At 42.7% G+C, this 18,875-nt stretch overlaps 1 protein-coding gene across 23 annotated transcripts in view; it reads right to left on the reverse strand.

The window, feature by feature from the left end:
• The window catches only part of PKHD1 (PKHD1 ciliary IPT domain containing fibrocystin/polyductin), a 472,317-nt gene that overhangs the window by 315,705 nt on the left and 137,737 nt on the right, over positions 1-18,875 (reverse strand). For all 23 annotated transcript variants that reach the window (XR_001743469.2, XM_017010944.3, XM_017010945.3 and 20 more), the window contains one exon: positions 3,107-3,319. Coding sequence is in view for 22 of the 23 variants with exons in the window: in XM_017010944.3 (XP_016866433.1) it covers positions 3,107-3,319 (213 nt within the window). In the remaining variant the exon portion in view is untranslated. The remainder of the gene's footprint in view (positions 1-3,106; positions 3,320-18,875) is intronic.

Raw genomic sequence — 18,875 nt, forward strand, 5'->3', positions numbered from 1 at the left:
CTCTGGAACACTTCATGAGCAATAAGTTTATGAAGTGGGAACTGTGTTTTTCTGATTTTTTAGAGATCTGTTGAAGGTCATAGCTGATCTGTGGCAGAACTGGGCCCATTTCTGATTCCAATTTGATTAACCACTTGAACCAGTGTTTCTCTGAGTATAGTCAATAGGCCACCTGAGTCACATCACATGTACATTTCCAGGCCCAGAAATCTAGATTTACAAAAACCTCTCCCAAAAGGCTCTTCTGTGCGCCAAAGTTGGTGAATCTCCTCATTATGTTATCCTGGGAAACTGAGTGAATGCTGGGTCATTAGGGACTTCCTGGGTGCAAAACAGTGAATCAAGTTGCTCACTATTTTGCATACTTGATGGTGAAAGAAAATTAGCTTTTTCCTAAAGCCCCAGTGTCACCAGACCCACCTCTGGCCCCGGCAAAAGGCCAGTGAAATTATGAAATGACTTTAGCCATGATATACCACCACGCTGGAGGGGAAATCTGTCTGAGACCTCAGGTGGTGAGGGAGAAGTGACAGGAGAGAATTGATGAGCTGCACGTGGGGCTGCGATTCTCTGACAGATACATCAGGAAAGGAATCCCTGTCACCCAAATGGCTGAGCTCTTTTCTACATAATATTTGTTTCAAATGCATGAGATGCTGCAGCATCACATCAGAGAGGAAATGGCTTGATCTTTGCCTGTGTTCAATGGGCAAGCTCTGTGATTCAGGTGAGATCCTAGTCAATTCTCTGTCCTAAATGCTTTGGGGAATGTTTAACCAGTTTTGAAAATGGCCTAATCTGGGAATATAGGAAAAGGGGGAGAGAGAGAGAGGAGGGAGAAGGAGAATAAAGGAGAGGGAGGGAGGAGAGGAAGGGAGGAAAAAGGGGAGAGAGAGAGAGGAGGGAGAAGGAGAATAAAGAAGAAAGAGGGAGAAGAGGAAGGGAGGAAGCATGGAGAGAGAGGAGGGAGAAGGAGAATAAAGGAGAGGGAGAGAGGAGAAAGAGGAAGGAGGAGATGGAAATGAGGAAAGCAGAGGGAGAGGAGGTCTCATTCTCAATATCCAGTAACATCAGATGGCTGAAGTAGCAACATTTTTTCTGAACTTTCAGAATTTTCAAACCATATTAGAGGCATATACTTTGCTTGAATTGCCCCATATTGACTGTAAGCAATGGGACTAGGGATTTTCTTGACATTTGCTTAACCACAAAGGCTTACATGCACAACGTACATTTAAAATACAGGCACAAAAGGTATATTTATGAGTTCTTTCTTTGATTCTTCACAATAGAGCATGATAATTAGATGAGCTTGGAATGAAAGAGGCAGAAGAAAATAATTAGGAGAGTTTTCATTTTTCCTCATTTGAATTCCTATTTTCAGGAAGAGCTGTGCTATCTGCATCATACAGGACAGTGGCTCTCAAATCTGAGGATTCCTCCTAAGCCTGGGGTCCTCTGGACGATCTATGGGCTGGCTGAACCACAAATATACACCAACTTATTCCCCAGATGCACTTTTTTACTGGTAAAAAGCAACATATTGGGTTAGTGGCTTAAGAGGCCATTGAGCTAGAGCAAACATTTGAAAACCATGGCTGACGTGGGAATAGATCCTGGGCTACAAAATCAATGTAGTTGCTTGCTGATGAAGATAGGAGGTAAAAAGGTCCCCTTGGAAGTTGATCATAGAATCAACATAGCAAGCATTTTGAATTTCTATCCAGTGAGTTATGGGGTATTTTTAACCTCACAAAATTTGATCCCCAGTGTCTAGCACACTGGGTAGCCCACAGTCAACACTTAAATGCTTGAGGAAAAGATCTTGCTTCCTTTCATAGTAAGCCAAAAGAGACACAAGCATGTTTTTTGATAGACAATGATTGGGGCCTGTGGTCGGTATGAGACAGAGTCTGGATAAAGAAAAATGGCAGATTCCTCAGCACAGCTCCATGCCCTCATCTAGAGCAATTATCCTATGACAAGTGGATTATTTTGTGATGCCAATATAGAAATATCATTGTGTAACTGACATTATGATTTCTGGAGATTGAGTCACTATCTGGAGCCCACATTTTTTATCTGCCTTTGGCTCATGCTATGCAACCAAAAGCATATAAACACCCACTGAAATATGCTTACTCATTATTTTATACTGATATTTTACAGTTGATACTAAGGATTATCCTGGCACACCTGGTAATTTCCTGACTCTCAAGAGGGAAAAAAAATGTCCATTTTGCAAAGTGGAATTAGATGATCAGAAAGCAAATAAAGTTGGAGTAGAACACACTGTAGCCTAATCTATTTTCTCCTGGGAATCCTTAAACACCCCACCTATCTGTAAGAGGATTCTAAGTAGAACTGTAATTAAACCCTGCTCATGGGGTAGAGGGTTTGGGGAGACAGGAAGAGGTTCAACAACTAAATGAGGTTGTCTGTATTTGATTTGGGATACCAGGCTACTGCATGTTGAGAGACATCAGTACATGCTAAGTAATTGTATCAGTCAGTTTTCACTAGGCTATGCTGCAATTACAAATGCAAATTTCAGTGGCTTATGACAAAGGCTTATTTCTCACTCACATACATGAGAGCAGTAGGTCAGCTGCAGCACTGCCCCATGTCGTCTTCGTTCAGGTTCTAAGCAGAAGGAACTGCCTCTATCTGGGACAGGCTATTCTCAAGTGGCAGGAAGAAAACGAAATGGCTAAAGCATCGTAACAGGTCTTAAAACCTTCACTTGGCCATGCAGTCCCCCAGTTCTGCTCACATTCCACTGACCAAAGCGAGTATAAGGCTAAGTCTGCTCTTGCAAAGGGGCCGGGAAGTATGGTCCACCCACAAGGAGGCACTGAAAGTCACCTAACAGTGGGTGGAAGTATACACAATCCTCTTACAGAAAGAGGAGCAAACAATTGGGAACGGTAGTGTACTCTGCCACATGAATCGTAACAGTTTTACTTGTTATTTAAGGAAATAGTGCCATGCTCTAACTGACCTGGTTGGCTCAGCAACTATAGTCAAGGACTTTTAAACAGTTTTATCAGTTTCCACTGCTAGACACAGCTCTACTTCATTTCCTCTGATCAATTGCCTCACTCACCGTGCAGAGAAAGAGTTCCATTCCTCACAGCCAGGAACTTGACTCCATAGGGAAAGAAGGGAGTTGAGTAGGAACTCCCGTAGAGTGTGATCTGAGCTCTGCCTTGGAAGGGCTTGTCTTCGGATCCAATCCGGAGCTCTCCACCATCAGAAACAAGGATGGCGTGTGCCCTGAGCTCGATGGGTCCTGGGGCCATGAAAATCAGCTTGCCCCCTAATGGACAAAGGGAAAATTGTCAGTCCCTGGGAGGATAAGGCTTACCGTTTTGTCAGTTTCAATGCCTGATGAAATCCCCTTCATTTAAATACTTCTGCTGGAATGTAGACTTATTTTATCATGCTCTCTCTTGTAGAAGCACAGTAGGGTAGACCAGACATTCAGGAGTGGAAGCACTATTATTTAGCCAGTTTAGGTTAGCTATTACTATTCTCTGCTGCTTTATTACATTTTCATGACAATAATCTAAATGTCCAGCAATTTAGGAATGGTTAAATAATGTATGAGAAGACCACTAACTTTACCATTTAACAATAGATAAAATTAAGAAAAAAAAAAACTGGGACATATACAAGAAATAGGGCTAGAAGAAGATGTGCCAAAATTGTAAGAATTATAGTAAAAGGAAATGTAACTAGGGCTAACACTGTGGCATTTGTAGCATTTTAGCTGACCAGCATCCATTATACTTTCTTTTGTTAACAGACCCTAATTTCCTTGAGGTATTGCTCTGCCCCATTGACTAGAGCTGAGTGGAACTGTCAAGCAAGACATCTTATCCTACCATGGCCAGAGTCACATACTCGGGCTTTAAGAGAAATATGGAGCAAAAGGGAAAAGAGGTAGGAAATATTTAGATCTCAGTTCCAGTGGTGGCATTCTAAGGAGCCTGGGAAGAACACCTGCTTCTGAGATGCCCACCTGCCCATCTCCCTGCCTGCCCCACCACCCGCCACTTGCATCAAATGCTTTGATTCCTACGTATTTCTGTCCCTGATTTTTCAGACTGCTTTCCACTGATTAGTAGGTTACCCAATACCTTCCCAATACATTCCATTTTTAAAAGAAAAGTTGGGTTCTCTTATTGGCAACCAGATAACCTTAACTGATACATATACCATTTTGCTCTGATGTCCAAATTTTCAGTAACACAAGAATATTCGTTTATAATAGAATTATTTTGCATTGTGAGATTAAATAATTTAAAAATTAAAAAGATATTTTCATTTTTATAATATCTTTCTTTAAAAGGCTTTAGAATGTTTATATTTTACGTAGAATTTTCTCAATAATGTCAAAATAATTAAAGCATCCCATATGAATAAACACTTTAACTTCAATAAGCTATTTAGTCCATCTTTCTCCTGCAAGTGGTTTACAAAAATACCAGACTAGACCCTTCCATCCTGTAACAAAGTAGTCAGAATTGTATCTTTATATCAGACACACCAGAGGTCCTCTTTTCTAAATCCAACAATAGTTTCCCATCTCACTCAGAATAGAAGTCAAAGTCCTTACATTGGGCTACAAAAGGTCCCTCATGATTTGCTACCCAACCTCCAATACCTCTCTAATATCATTTTCTAAAGCTCACCTGTTCACACATATGCTACAAACATATTGGCCTGCCTGTTAGTTCTCAAACAGGCCTCAGGGCATAAGCTCTTCCCTCTGGAAGGTTCTTTTGATATTCCCGTGAATATCATGAATAAGAATTATCAAAAATATCGGAAATATCTAAAATGTTATTGGAATTATCGGAATGTTCTGATATTCCCATGGCTCACTCTCCCTTGTTACTATTCAAATGTTAACTTCTCACCAAGGCCTTCCCTCTCCAGTCTATATAAAATAGCACACCCTAGCCCCTTGCCTAAATGCCTTTTTCTTTGTAATACTTGATATCAGGCATATTATATATTTACAGGTTTATTTTCTGCCCTCTCCCCACCAGAATACATGCTTCCTGAGGGGAATTATCTGTTTTGTTCACTTCTAAATTATTGGTGTCTAGAAAAGTGGCTGGTAGGTAGTTGGCACTCAACACACAATTAATGGTTGAGTGAATGAATGAATGGACATATCTTTTTGGAGATTCTGATTTAAGTGCCTCTATTTCCTTATATACAAACACACACACACTCTCCCATTTTCTCAGAAAGGATGTTGTTCTTACACTTAATTTATAAGCCTACATAGTGTCTCAATGAGCAAAGGGGGGCAAAGGATATAGAGATAGCAAAGTATCAGAAATGCCTCAAAAGGCAGATTCTACTATAATAAGAAGAGTCTTGGTGAGATGTAGTGGAGGGCAAAGACTCTTCATCTGCTAATGTAGTCATAAATCCAGAGTGCCAAGTTATTGAGTTGAGTTTTTGTTGCTTTCCAGAAATCACAGCTGGAAGTAGTTAAACATGCACTGGAGAAATGAGAGGGAGAGAGGAAAAAGGCAAAAATGACTTTAGTCATTATCATGTAAACCAAAAATAAAATTTTAAGTCCCCCAAACCAACTGAATTGACCCCTCCTCTTAGGCAAGGGCGTTACAAAGTTAAACTGTAAAACTAGTTCAGGCCATGACGGGGAGTGTCAGAGATGCCTCATTATACCCTCCTCCCTTTGGAATTCAGAAATAAGTAACCAGCATTAACATTAAAACAGAGACATTAAGACTGACAAAATAGACTCTGTAGCAATAAGACACCAAATTCCAACCTGACTCTAGTACAGCACCACATGACAGATAGCCGGCCCTGAAAGAAACTGAAGTATTTTACCCCAAAATATATTAAACGGCCCTGCAAAGCTGTCTCTTGTGGGGAAAATCTACATTCTGTAGAAAATTCCCTTCCTTTTCTGGATCTTTACCCTGAGCTAGGAGAGTGCTAACTAAGAGTCTGGAACCTTTTTAGATCTGCTAAGAAACATTTACAGTCTATTCTCTCTGAAGCCTGCTACCTGGAGGCTTCATCTGCATAATAAGAACCTTGGACTCCACAACCACTTATCTTAACCCAGACACTCCCTTCTGTTGATTCCAGGTCTTTAGATAAGTTAATAAGTTAACTCTTTCAACCAATTGCCAGTCAGAAAATCTTTGAATCCATCTATGACCTGGAAGCCCCCACTCCTACTTGTCTAACCTTTCCAGACCAAACCAATGTACATCTTATATGTATTGATTGATGTCTTACCTCTCCCTAAAACATATAAAACCAAGCTGTAGCCTGACCATCTTGGGCACATGTACTTACGACCTCTTAAGACTGTGCCCCAGGCCATGGTCACTGAAATTTGGCTCAGAATTAATCTCTTCAAGTATTTTACAGAGTTTGACTCTTTTCATTTAATTGTTTACCTCCGTCTTAGTGCAGAGACAGTGATCAATAAATGTTTGACTCAATAGTCAAATATGGAGGCCACTTCTTCCCTAACTTCTCTTCAGCTTTCCTCAGCTCCTTTCCTCAAGACTCTTTTCTTCAATTCTAAAGCCCAAGCCATATGCCATCAGTAATAGTCACGGGATGTATACTTGGACCAGACCCCTTCAAGGACCTTTTCTTTCAGTCACAATTTAGAATGACACACCCCGCATAGGTATCCAGTTTCTCCATCTGTAAAATGGGCATGGTAAGAATTTCACCCTCAGAAGATTAAGGTGAGATTTATTGAAATAGTTCTTATAGATCCCTGGTCTGGAGTCTGACACCTATTCAACCCTTAATGCAATGGTCTCTGTGGCTATCATCACACTCACCATCTTCGCTTCCTCCATTATTGCTGTGAAACCATCCTTGCAAAGATTCTGACAGTGAGAAAAATCTAACATGGCTTACTCCATCTTGTTCCTAGCCTCACAGGCTGGCTGGCTTTGCTCATTCCTAGGTGTAAGCCAAGCTAACTATGGGAGGAATTTAGTTTATAGTCTAACCTTAAACAAGGATGATAATAGCCCTTCCCAAAATTAAACTACCTTTGTAAAACTAATGAAAGGCCACAAGGCTAGGATTATAAGAGGTGCCAAAATTCTAAGATGTTTAGCATATTTAAATGATTACTAGCCATTGTTCAAGAGGTCACAAGATTTGCAACTCTTCCAAATACTCCAATAGATAACATCACTATTTTAGAAACTGTCAGGCCTCTGAGCCCAAGCTAAGCCATCATATCCCCTGTGACCTGCACGTATACATCCAGATGGCCTGAAGTAACTGAAGAATCACAAAAGAAGTGATATTTAAATGGCCTGTTCCTGCCTTAACTGATGACATTCCACCACAAAAGAAGTGAAAATGGCTGGTCCTTGCCTAACTGATGACATTACCTGGTGAAATTCCTTCTCCTGGCTCATCCTGGCTCAAAAAGCTCCCCCACTGAGCACGCTGTGACCCCCCACTCCTGCCCGCCAGAGAACAACCCCCCTTTTTCCTTTACCTCCCCAAATCTTATAAGATGGCCCCACTACTATCTCCCTTCACTGACTCTCTTTTCGGACTCAGCCCACCTGCACCCAGGTGAAATAAACAGCCTTGTTGCTCATACAAAACCTGTTTGGTGGTCTCTTCACACAGACGCAAGTGAAATTTTGCTGCCATGACTCAGATCAGGGAACCTCCCTTGGGAGATCAATCCCCTGTCCTCCTGCTCTTTGTTCCGTGAGAAAGATCCACCTATGACTTCTGGTCCTCAGACCAAGGAACATCTCACCAATTTTAAATCCGGTAAGCAGCCTCTTTTTACTCTCTTCTCCAACCTCTCTCACTATCCCTCAACCTCTTTCTCCTTTCAATCTTGGTGCCACACTTCAATCTCTCTCTTCTCTTAATTTCAGTTCCTTTCCTTTTCTGGTGATGCAGAAGATGCGTTTTATCCATGGACCCAAAACTCTGGCGCCAGTCACGGACTCAGGAAGACAGTCTTCCCTTGGTGTTTAATCATGCGGGGATGTCTGCCTGATTATTCACCCACATTTCAGAGGTGTCTGACCACGTGGGGATGCCTGCCTTGGTCCTTCACCCTTAGCAGCAAGTACTGCTTTTCTGGGGGGCAAGGACCCCCCTGACCCCTTCTCTCCATGTCTCTACCCCTTCTCCACTTTTCTGGGGGGCAAGAACCCCCCCAACCCCTTCTCCTTCACCCTTAGTGGCAAGTACCGCTTTTCTGGGGGGCAAGAACGCCCAGACCCCTTCTCTCCGTGTCTCTACCCCTTCTCCGCTTTTCTAGGGGGCAAGAACCCGCTGACCCCTTCTCTCCGTGTCTCTACTCTCTCTTTTCTCTTGGCTCGCCTCCTTCACTATGGGCAGCCTTCCACCCTCCATTCCTCCTTCTCCCTTATCCTGTGTTCTCAAGAACTTAAAACCTCTTCAACTCACACCTGACCTAAACCTAAATGCCTTATTTTCTTCTGCAATGCCACTTGACCCCATTACAAACTTGACAGTGGTTCCAAATAGCCAGAAAACAGCATTTTCGATTTTTCCATCCTACAAGATCTAGATAATTCTTATCGTAAAATAGACAAACCGTCTGAGATGCCTGACGTCCAGACATTCTTTTACACATTGTTTCCTCCCTAGTCTCTGTTCCCAATGCGACTCATCCCAAATCCTCCTTCTTTCCCTCCCTCCTGTTCTCTCAGTCCCAACCCCAAGCATCACTGAGTCTTTCTAATCTTCCTTTTCTACAGACCCATCTGACTTCTCCCCTCCTCCCCAGGCTGCTCCTTGCCAGGCCCAGCCAGGTCCCAATTCTTCCTCAGCCTCTGCTCCCCCACCCTATAATCCTTTTATCACCTCCCTCATCACACCAGGTCTGGCTTACAGTTTAATTCCTCGACTATCCCTCCCCCACCTGCCCAGCAATTTCCTCTTAAAAAGGTGGCTGGAGCTAAAGGCATAGTCAAGGTTAATGCTCCTTTTTCTTTATCTGACCTCTCCCAAAATCAGTTAGCATTTAGGCTCTTTTTCATCAAATATGAAAAACCCAGCCCAGTTCATGGTTCGTTCAGCAGCAACCCTGAGATGCTTTACAGCCCTAGACCCTAAAAGGTCAAAAGGCCGTCTTATTCTCAATATACATTTTATTACCCAATCCGCTCCTGACATTAAATAAAACTACAAAAATTAAATTCCGGCCCTCAAACCCCACAACAGGACTTAATTAACCTTGCCTTCAAGGTGTACTATAATAGAGTAGAGGCAGCCAAGTAGCAATGTATTTCTGAGTTGCAATTCCTTGCCTCCACTGTGAGACAAACCCCAGCCATATCTCCAGCACACAAGAACTCCAAATGCCTGAACCGCAGCTGTCAGGGGTTCCTCCAGAACCTCCTCCCCCAGGAGCTTACTACAAGTGCTGGAAATCTGGCCACTGGGCCAAGGAATGCCCACAGCCCGGGATTCCTCCTAAGCCATGCCCCATCTGTGTGGGACCCCACTGAAAATCGGACTGTTCAACTCACCTGGAAGCCACTTCCAGAGCCCCTGGAACTCTGGCCCAAGGCTCTCTGACTGACTCCTTCCCAGATCTTCTTGGATAAGCAGCTGAAGACTGATACTGCCCGATTGCCTCGGAAGCCTACAGGACCATCGCAGACGCTCTGGGTAACTCTCACAGTGGAAGGTAAGTCCGTCCCCTTCTTAGTCAATACGGAGGCTACCCACTCCACATTACCTTCTTTTCAAGGACCTGTTTCCCTTGCCTCCATAACTGTTGTGGGTATTGACGGCCAGGCTTCTAAACCTCTTAAAACTCCCCAACTCTGGTGCCATCTTAGACAACATTCTTTTATGCACTCCTTTTTAGTTATCCCCACCTGCCCAGTTCCCTTATTAGGCCGAGACATTTTAATTGAATTATCTGCTTCCCTCACTGTTCCTAGATTACAGCCACACCTCACTGCTGCCCTTTACCCCAGTTCAAAGCCTCCTTCGCATCCTCCTCTTGTATCCCCCCCCACCTTAACCCACAAATATAAGACACCTCTACTCCCTCCTTGGCGACTGATCATGCACCCTTTACCATCCCATTAAAACCTAATCACCCTTACCCCACTCAATGCCAATATCCCATCCCACAGCACGCTTTAAAAGGATTAAAGCCTGTTATCACTCACCTGTTACAGCATGGCCTTTTTTTTTTTTTTTTTTTTTTTTTTTTTTGAGACGGAGTCTCGCTCTGTCGCCCAGGCCGGACTGCGGACTGCAGTGGCGCAATCTCGGCTCACTGCAAGCTCCGCTTCCCGGGTTCACGCCATTCTCCTGCCTCAGCCTCCCGAGTAGCTGGGACTACAGGCGCCCGCCACCGCGCCCGGCTAATTTTTTGTATTTTTAGTAGAGACGGGGTTTCACCTTGTTAGCCAGGATGGTCTCGATCTCCTGACCTCATGATCCACCCGCCTCGGCCTCCCAAAGTGCTGGGATTACAGGCGTGAGCCACCGCACCCAGCCCAGCATGGCCTTTTAAAGCCTATAAACTCTCTTTACAATTCCACCATTTTACCTGTCCTAAAACCAGACAAGGCTTACAGGTTAGTTCAGGATCTGTGCCTTATCAACCAAATTGTTTTGCCTATCCACCCCGTGGTGCCAAACCCATATACTCTCCTATCCTCAATACCTCCCTCCACAACCCATTATTCTGTTCTGGATCTCAAACATGCTTTCTTTACTATTCCTTTGCACCCTTCATCCCAGCCTCTCTTCGCTTTCACTTGGACTGACCCTGACACCCATCAGGCTCAGCAAATTACCTGGGCTGTACTGCCGCAAGCCTTCACAGACAGCCCCCATTACTTCAGTCAAGCCCAAATTTCTTCCTCATCTGTTACCTATCATGGCGTAATTCTCATAAAACGTGTTTTCCCTGCCGATCGTGTCCTACTGATCTCTCAAACCCCACCACCTTCTACAAAACAACTCCTTTCCTTCCTAGGCATGGTTGGATACTTTCGACTTTAGACACCTAGTTTTGCCATCCTAACAAAGCCATTATATAAGCTCACAAAAGGAAACCTAGCTGACCCCATAGATCCTAAATCCTTTCCCCACTCCTCTTTCCATTCCTTGAAGACAGCTTTAGAGACTGCCCCAACCTTAGCTCTCCCTGACTCATCCCAACCCTTTTCATTACCCACAGCTGAAGTGCAGGGCTGTGCAGTCAGAATTCTTACCCAAGAACTGGGACTGTGCCCTGTAGCCTTTTTATCCAAACAACTTGACCTTACAGTTTTGCCTAGCCCTCAAGTCTGCGTGCAGCAGCCGCTGCCGCCCTAATACTTTTAGAGGCCCTTAAAACCATAAACTATGCTTAACTCACTCTCTATAGTTCTCATAACTTCCAAAACCTATTTTCTTCCTCACACCTGACACATATACTTTCTGCTCCCTGGCTCCTTCAGCTGTACTCACTTTTTGTTGAGTCTCCCGCAATTACCACTGTTCCTGGCCCGGACTTCAATCCGGCCTCCCACATTATTCCTGATACCACACCTGACCCCCATGACTTATCTCTCTGATCCACCTGACATTCACCCCCATTTCTCCATATTTCCTTCTTTCCTGTTCCTCACCCTGATCACACTTGGTTTATTGATGGCAGTTCCACCAAGCCTAATTACCACACACCAGCAAAGGCAGGCTATGCTATAGTACAAGCCACTAGCCCGCCTCTTAGAACCTCTCATTTACTTTCCATCGTGGAAATCCATCCTCAAGGAAATAACTTCTCAGTGTTCCATCTGCTATTCTACTACTCCTCAGGGATTATTCAGGCCCCCTCCCCTCCCTACACATCAAGCTCGGGGATTTGCCCCTGCCCAGGACTGGCAAATTGGCTTTACTCAACATGCCCCAAGTCAGGAAACTAAAATACCTCTTGGTCTAGGTAGACACTTTCACTGGATAGGTAGAGGCCTTTCCCACAGGGTCTAAGAAGGCCACCACGGTCATTTCTTCCCTTCTGTCAGACATAATTCCTCAGTTTGGGCTTCCCACCTCTATACAGTCTTATAATGGACTGGCCTTTATTAGTCAAATCACCCAAGCAGTTTCTCAGGCTCTTCGTATTCAGTGAACTAATAGTCTTTTAAAAACACACCTCACCAAGCTCAGCCACCAACTTAAAAAGGACTGGACAATACTTTTACCACTTGCCCTTCTCAGAATTCAGGCCTGAACTCGGAATGCTACAAGGTACAGCCCATTTGAGCTCCTGTATAAGACGCTCCTTTTTATTAGGCCCCAGTCTCATTCCAGACACCAGACCAACTTGGACTGCATCCCTTCCACCAAAAAAAAAAAAAACTCATCATCCCTACTATCTTCTGTCTAGTCATACTCCTATTCACCGTTCTCAACTACTCATAAATGCCCTGCTCTTGTTTACACTGCCGGTTTACACTGTTTCTCCAAGCCATCACAGCTGATATCTCCTGGTGCTATCCCCAAACCACCATTCTTAACTCCCTCTTAAAGTAAATAAATAATCTTTGCTGGCAGGGCTATGCTGAACCTCCTTAAGCACTCTCTAGTTAGATGTCCTGGATCCTCCCAATTCTTAATCCTTTAATACCTGCTTTTCTCCTTGTCTTATTCCATTCTTTTTTCAATTCATACAAAACCATATCCAGGCCATCACCAATCATTCTATATGACAAATATTTCTTCTAACAACCCCACAATATCACCCCTTACCACAAAACCTTCCTTCAGCTTAATCTCTCCCACTGTAGGTTTCCATGCCGCCCCTAATCCCGCTCGAAGCAGCCCTGAGAAACATCGCCCATTATCTCTCCATACCACCCCCAAAAATTTTCACCATCCCAACACTTCAATACTGTTATGTTTTATTTTTCTTATTAATATAAGAAGACAGGAATGTCAGGCCTCTGAGCCCAAGCTAAGCCATCATATCCCCTGTGACCTGCACGTATACATCCAGATGGCCTGAAGTAACTGAAGAATCACAAAAGAAGTGATATTTAAATGGCCTGTTCCTGCCTTAACTGATGACATTCCACCACAAAAGAAGTGAAATGGCCAGTCCTTGCCTAACTGATGACATTACCTTGTGAAATTCCTTCTCCTGGCTCATCCTGGCTCAAAAAGCTCCCCCACTGAGCACTTTGTGACCCCCACTCCTACACGCCAGAGAACAACCCCCCTTTTTCCTTTACCTCCCCAAATCTTATAAAACGGCCCCGCCCCATCTCCCTTCACTGACTCTCTTTTCGGACTCAGCCCACCTGCACCCAGGTGAAATAAACAGCCTTGTTGCTCACACAAAGCCTGTTTGGTGGTCTCTTCGCATGGATGCGAGTGAAAAACACTAAGATTGGTCTTTTGAGATTTTTTTTTAGGCTTTTGTATTTCTGACCACCAGCTGACTTCACTCAGATTCATGACCCAAGACTCAACCAGTGCTGTGGCCCTTACCTAAAGACAGACTCAGTACACAAGGACTGTTTTCCATACCCCTATGATTTCATCCCCAACAAATCAATATTCCCCATACCCTAGTTCCCTGCCCAACAAACTACCCTTGAAAACCCCTAACCTCTGAGCCTCCAGGGAGATTGATTTGGGTAATAACCCCATCCCCCAAATGGTGTGGAGGGCCTTGCATCAGTTAAATGCTTTCTTTACTGCAACGCCATGGTCTTGACGAATTGATTTTGTCTGTGCAACTGGCAGGAAGAACCCACCGGGTGATTATATCTACAACCTGCTCAATTTCTACAAGTGCCCTACCACTTGAGCACTGCTAGACCATCTGCATCCAACATCTCTCTGTTACTGGTCCTTTTGAAATATTTTGTCATATATAATATTTCATACTCTAGGGTAAAGCAGCAAGGTCAGTCTACAGGCTCCATGCCAGAGCAGTACCACACTGCTTACCAGACTTCCAAAGGATTCCCTAACAATTTTGACTTTTTTCCTTTCATTGTCATTACATAGAAATGCAGTAATAATCATGAGTCCCAGTGTGAGCAAGAAGGAAGAAATATGACCTGGGCTACAGATCAAATTTTATGTTAACTAAAATTTTTCCCTCACAGCCACATGTCATTAACATCCTAAATAATTATATTCAACTGGTAGAACATGGATTTGTATGACAGGACTGCCGCATTGTAAATAGTCAGGAAATCTAAACTGACCTTGATGAGCAAGTGGTAAAGGCAGGGAACAAAATCAAGGTTCCTGTCCTGAGTCTGCTATTGACCTCTGAATGAGCCTCAGTAAGTCCCATACAATTGCTGGGCCTCAGATTACTCAGGTCCCAAATCTCTCCTACTCAGTGCCTATTAATGGTCTGTGGTTTCATCCGCAAAGTGGAAGGTGGAATTATGAGTTCCTTTCAACTCTAGAACACTTGACGTCTACATCTTTATGAATGCAGTCAGATGTGCATGGGACACTAATGGAGGCACAAGGCTCATGTTTTCCTGACACTGCCTGTGCTGCAGTAATCACTGAATTTTTTCTTAAGCAAGATATGAGATGCATAGTCAGGAATTCATATAAGACTACAGGGAAAACAAGAAAGCTAACATTTATTCAGCACCTACCATGTACCAAAATCTGTAGATATATTGTCTAAAATGACCTTCAAAACCAGTCTGTGAGATCAAGATCACATTCTTTATTTCACAGAGCAGAATGTGGCTAAGAGGCATTCATACCTATTCCAGCCCAGAATACACAGAACCAAACTAGAACCCAGGACTACCCAACCAAAAGGCTCAGATCCTATCCATTTGCACAAACCTTCCCCAGTAGCTCTCAATTCACTAGGGTTGTTCTCATAGTTACATTTAAGGAAAAACATGTGTGAACCTAAGAAAGTTTGCCTATGGCTTGTTTATACATGATTTATTTTAATTTTGTTAATGAAGATATACCTTGTCTTTTTCCAAAAAGGATTTGAAACAGATTACAAGGATTAGTGGGTAAATATATAAACATGGGCTTTGTCCCTTTTACCATGAAGCAAAATGTTAAATACACTGAAACAAATTGGTAGAAATTTTGAAACATCATTTACTGACAGGAACTAATAATGATGCTAATGAAGGGAGAAAAACTCATCCCAAAGAAAATGAATTATCTGCGTTGTCAGGAGTGTCATAAACAGGACTAATTAATTAATATGAACATCATTAACTCCTGCTAAAAAGCATCCCCACCCCGCTTTATTAGTGGCAAATATAAGAAAATCTAGGTACATTTAGAAGAAAGTTTGATGAGGAATTCAGCTATTTTTGCCTGAAATAATTAGATAAACAAATGAAACCTTCTTTATGTGAAAGAAGATAAAGTTTATACTTAATCTATCTTTATGCCAAGGCACCAAGATTTTCATCCTCACACTTTATTAGTTTAAAATAAATATACAGTGGGCTGCTTTAAAGGATAGTTACTTGAGTATGGGAGGGCTGTGGGAGGACTTTATTCCATACTTTATAGAGCTTGACCCCATTTCTAAATGCTGAAATAAAGAGCAGGGCTGAAATCAGCCTTTGGCTGTGACCCTTAAATTGCTTGTTATGACTTTCATGAAAGCTGACTATGTCCCACAAGTAACCTTGGGTAATTTTATAAAAATCAATCAACCATCATTATTGTTACTTCCCTCTAAAATAAATAAATGAACACAACTTTTTATATGTAATCACCTCTTTCCATTAAACATCTCTTTTGTTTCTTTTAAAGGGAAGTAAAAGAGACTTTTAGCAGCTAGCTAATGTTTGCAAAGTACATCAAAATCTGCTTTTGGCTAACCCAACAATTAGTCATCCTCTATAATAACCACAAAATAATTTGTTGTTTTTTTTAAGAAAACAAATACACAATTCTATTTTCCCCCTTACAGAAAAAATTTAAGTATAAATATTATACCATACAATACTAGTCTTCAAAAGAGTGGCTATACCTACTATCTTCAACTCTTTTTCATGACTGTCTTTTGAACCCTCCCTGGTCAGGCCTTTACCTGATGAACCTGCAAAACTGCTCCTCTCAAGGCCACAGATGGCAACCACATTGGTGAATCTCAGGCTCAATGCTCAGTCCTCACCCTTCCCGAGTGACCAGCAGCATTTGACAACTTGGTCACTTCTTTCCTAAAACTCCCTCTCCTCACTTGCCCAGCCTCTTTGTTTTTCTTTCTTTCATTTTCTCATCTCTATTTAAAAAATCCAATGTTTCTATACTTCTATCAAATTTTCATCATGTGCTATATTCTATACATTGTATTGAATCGCTAAAGAAAACCTCATAAAATGCAAAAGTGCTAGTAACTCATAAAAGAACAGAAGAATAAACTCTTCTATTTAGAACCTTTGTCTTTCCTTCACCTGGTATCTAATTTCATGTCTTCATTTTTAGCAAATACTAAGAAAGCTCCCTATTGACTCAATGACAGTGAGCACATGGGACTTTTCTAATTAAGTAGGTTGGGTACAAACCCAGCTGGTTTTCCTCTTACTTCTTAGGCATCCTCTTCTCAGCCTCTTCTGCCTGATTCCTCCTGATCATCCCAACCACTGACACTTGGTGGGTCCCAAGCCTCAGCCCTCTAAACACGTTTCTTATCAGTCTCTGTAGACCATGCCAGTTGTCCCATCTTGTCTTAAGGTTTTAAACACCATCGCACGCTAATTGTCAATGACTCTCAAATTTATATCTCCAAGCTTGTGCCCTCAGCTCAAGATTCACATACCCAACTGCCTACTCAACATCTCTACTTGGATGTCTCATAGTTTCTTAACTATGAGTATCCATGAACTCCTTTCCTTGTCTTGCCCCACAGATCTTCCCTCAGTCCTTCCCATTCCATGAATGGTAACTTCATCCTTGCAATTGCTAAGTCTGAAAATCACAGAGTTAACTTTCACTGTCTCTCACTCCATAATCAATACTTCAGGAAATTGTATGCATTCCACCTTCAAAACGTCCCCTATAACCCAACCACTTACCACCTCCACATCTACTTCTGGGGTCCAAGTCACTCTCATCTCACCCATGGATTATTGTAACAGCATCTTAACTTAGCTCCCTGTTTCTGCCCTTATCCTCTACCTCAGGGTTAATTCTCAAAACAACACTCAGTGTTGTCATTCCTTCTTTTCATGTGAACCATATCGTGTTACCTCTCTGCCAAAATTCTTCAATGGCTCCCATCATATTTAGAGTCAAAGCCTATCAAACCTTACAGCGTTGGTTCTCTCTGGCCCCATCTGCCTCTGCTCTCCCCCTTGTTCCAATACTCCTTTTTGCTCCCTTGCCTCACAACATTTGCTATCGCTGTGTGCCAATATCCCCAACTACCACCTCCAATGTGTATTCCCTATTCACCTCTCCTGCTGCATTTTTCTCCATGGTACTAAGCAAATTTAACAAAAACTATAATTTTCTTATTTTGTTTATTGACTGTTTTCCTTCTAGAAGTAAACACCATGAGAGCAAGATTTTGGCCTGTTTTGTTCACAGCCATAGTCCCTGTGCCTGGAACATGGGGAACGTGTTAAGTGATCACTCAATACTTGTTGAATAACGAGGAGTTGAAATTATCAAAGTAAATGAGGTCTCCCAGGGAGGACATGTAGAGTAAGAACAGAAGAAAGGTAAGGTGGGTAAAGGTAGGGAAACAACTGTCAACCATCAACATTTAAAGGCTAGAATAAGAAACAAGATTCTTGAGAGCAGATCAAAGAATTAGGTGAGTTAGAAGGATCATAAGGTTGTAGACATAGGCTCAACGAAGAGCCTTAAGAACTGTTAAAGAGGTAGATGAGTGTGTCAAACCCTTAATGCCATTTTTAGGAAGATCAAGAGAGAAAAGGTGCACAGCCAGCATGTACAGAGTTAGGATGTGAATGTCAGGTGATAAAATAAACCCAGGGAGAGTGATTCTATTTTTAAACAGAGGAAAAATGAGAGGTAAATGGAGGCAAGACCAGGGAGGGATCTGAGAACCCCAATTCATTAGATTAATCTGTATCACCAAGCTAGATAATTCATTTACTCAAAGCTTGAACTATCTAAATTTTTAGATGTAAACTAATTTACTTGCCTACATTGATTAACCCCCAATTCACCATTTTTTCTTAAAAAATTTAGCAGCCTATATATTCTTACCTTTCAATTATTAAATAGTCAAATGGATAGTCGAGGAAGCCTGTGGAATTCCCTTTCCCTGGAGAAAAGGAATCATCCATTCAAGATGGACAAATCCTGCTCTGCCTGGGTAAGGAGAGCTGGCTGAGTGATCTGGGCAGAGTTGGAGTATATCCCTGTACCTTACTGCACTGTGCTGCTCTGGGAGCAGGAGCCAGGAGAAGGTGAGGAAGAGGAGGAAAGAGGAGCATTTAGAGAAGGCACCCACAGCCCAAAGAAACCTGCATTGTGACACGGATGGACACAGCTTCCTTTGTTGGCAAGATCCGGATTAGACTTGTGCCTGATCCACTGGAGCAGAGCCTGGGAAGCCTTCGAGGTGGGCTTGTCCCCAGCCAGAGAGGCGGAAAATCAATTTGGCTGGCAAACGAGAGCCCCCAAGAGCTTAGTCCACGCTCCATAATCCTATCCACTAGCAGCTCAGGAAATAGATGCCTGAGCCCTCACATATTCATGGGGGATGTGAGGCATAAATCAGGCTTTAAGGATTGGGGGCAAAGGGAATGGACTCTCTGGCTGGCTACTAATTAATCAAGCACAGAATACCTAAACCTAGCAACCTGGGATGGAGCCACACACACACAGAAGCA

The sequence above is a fragment of the Homo sapiens genome, chromosome 6 (genome assembly GCF_000001405.40).
Source record: "Homo sapiens chromosome 6, GRCh38.p14 Primary Assembly".
NCBI lineage: Eukaryota > Metazoa > Chordata > Mammalia > Primates > Hominidae > Homo > Homo sapiens.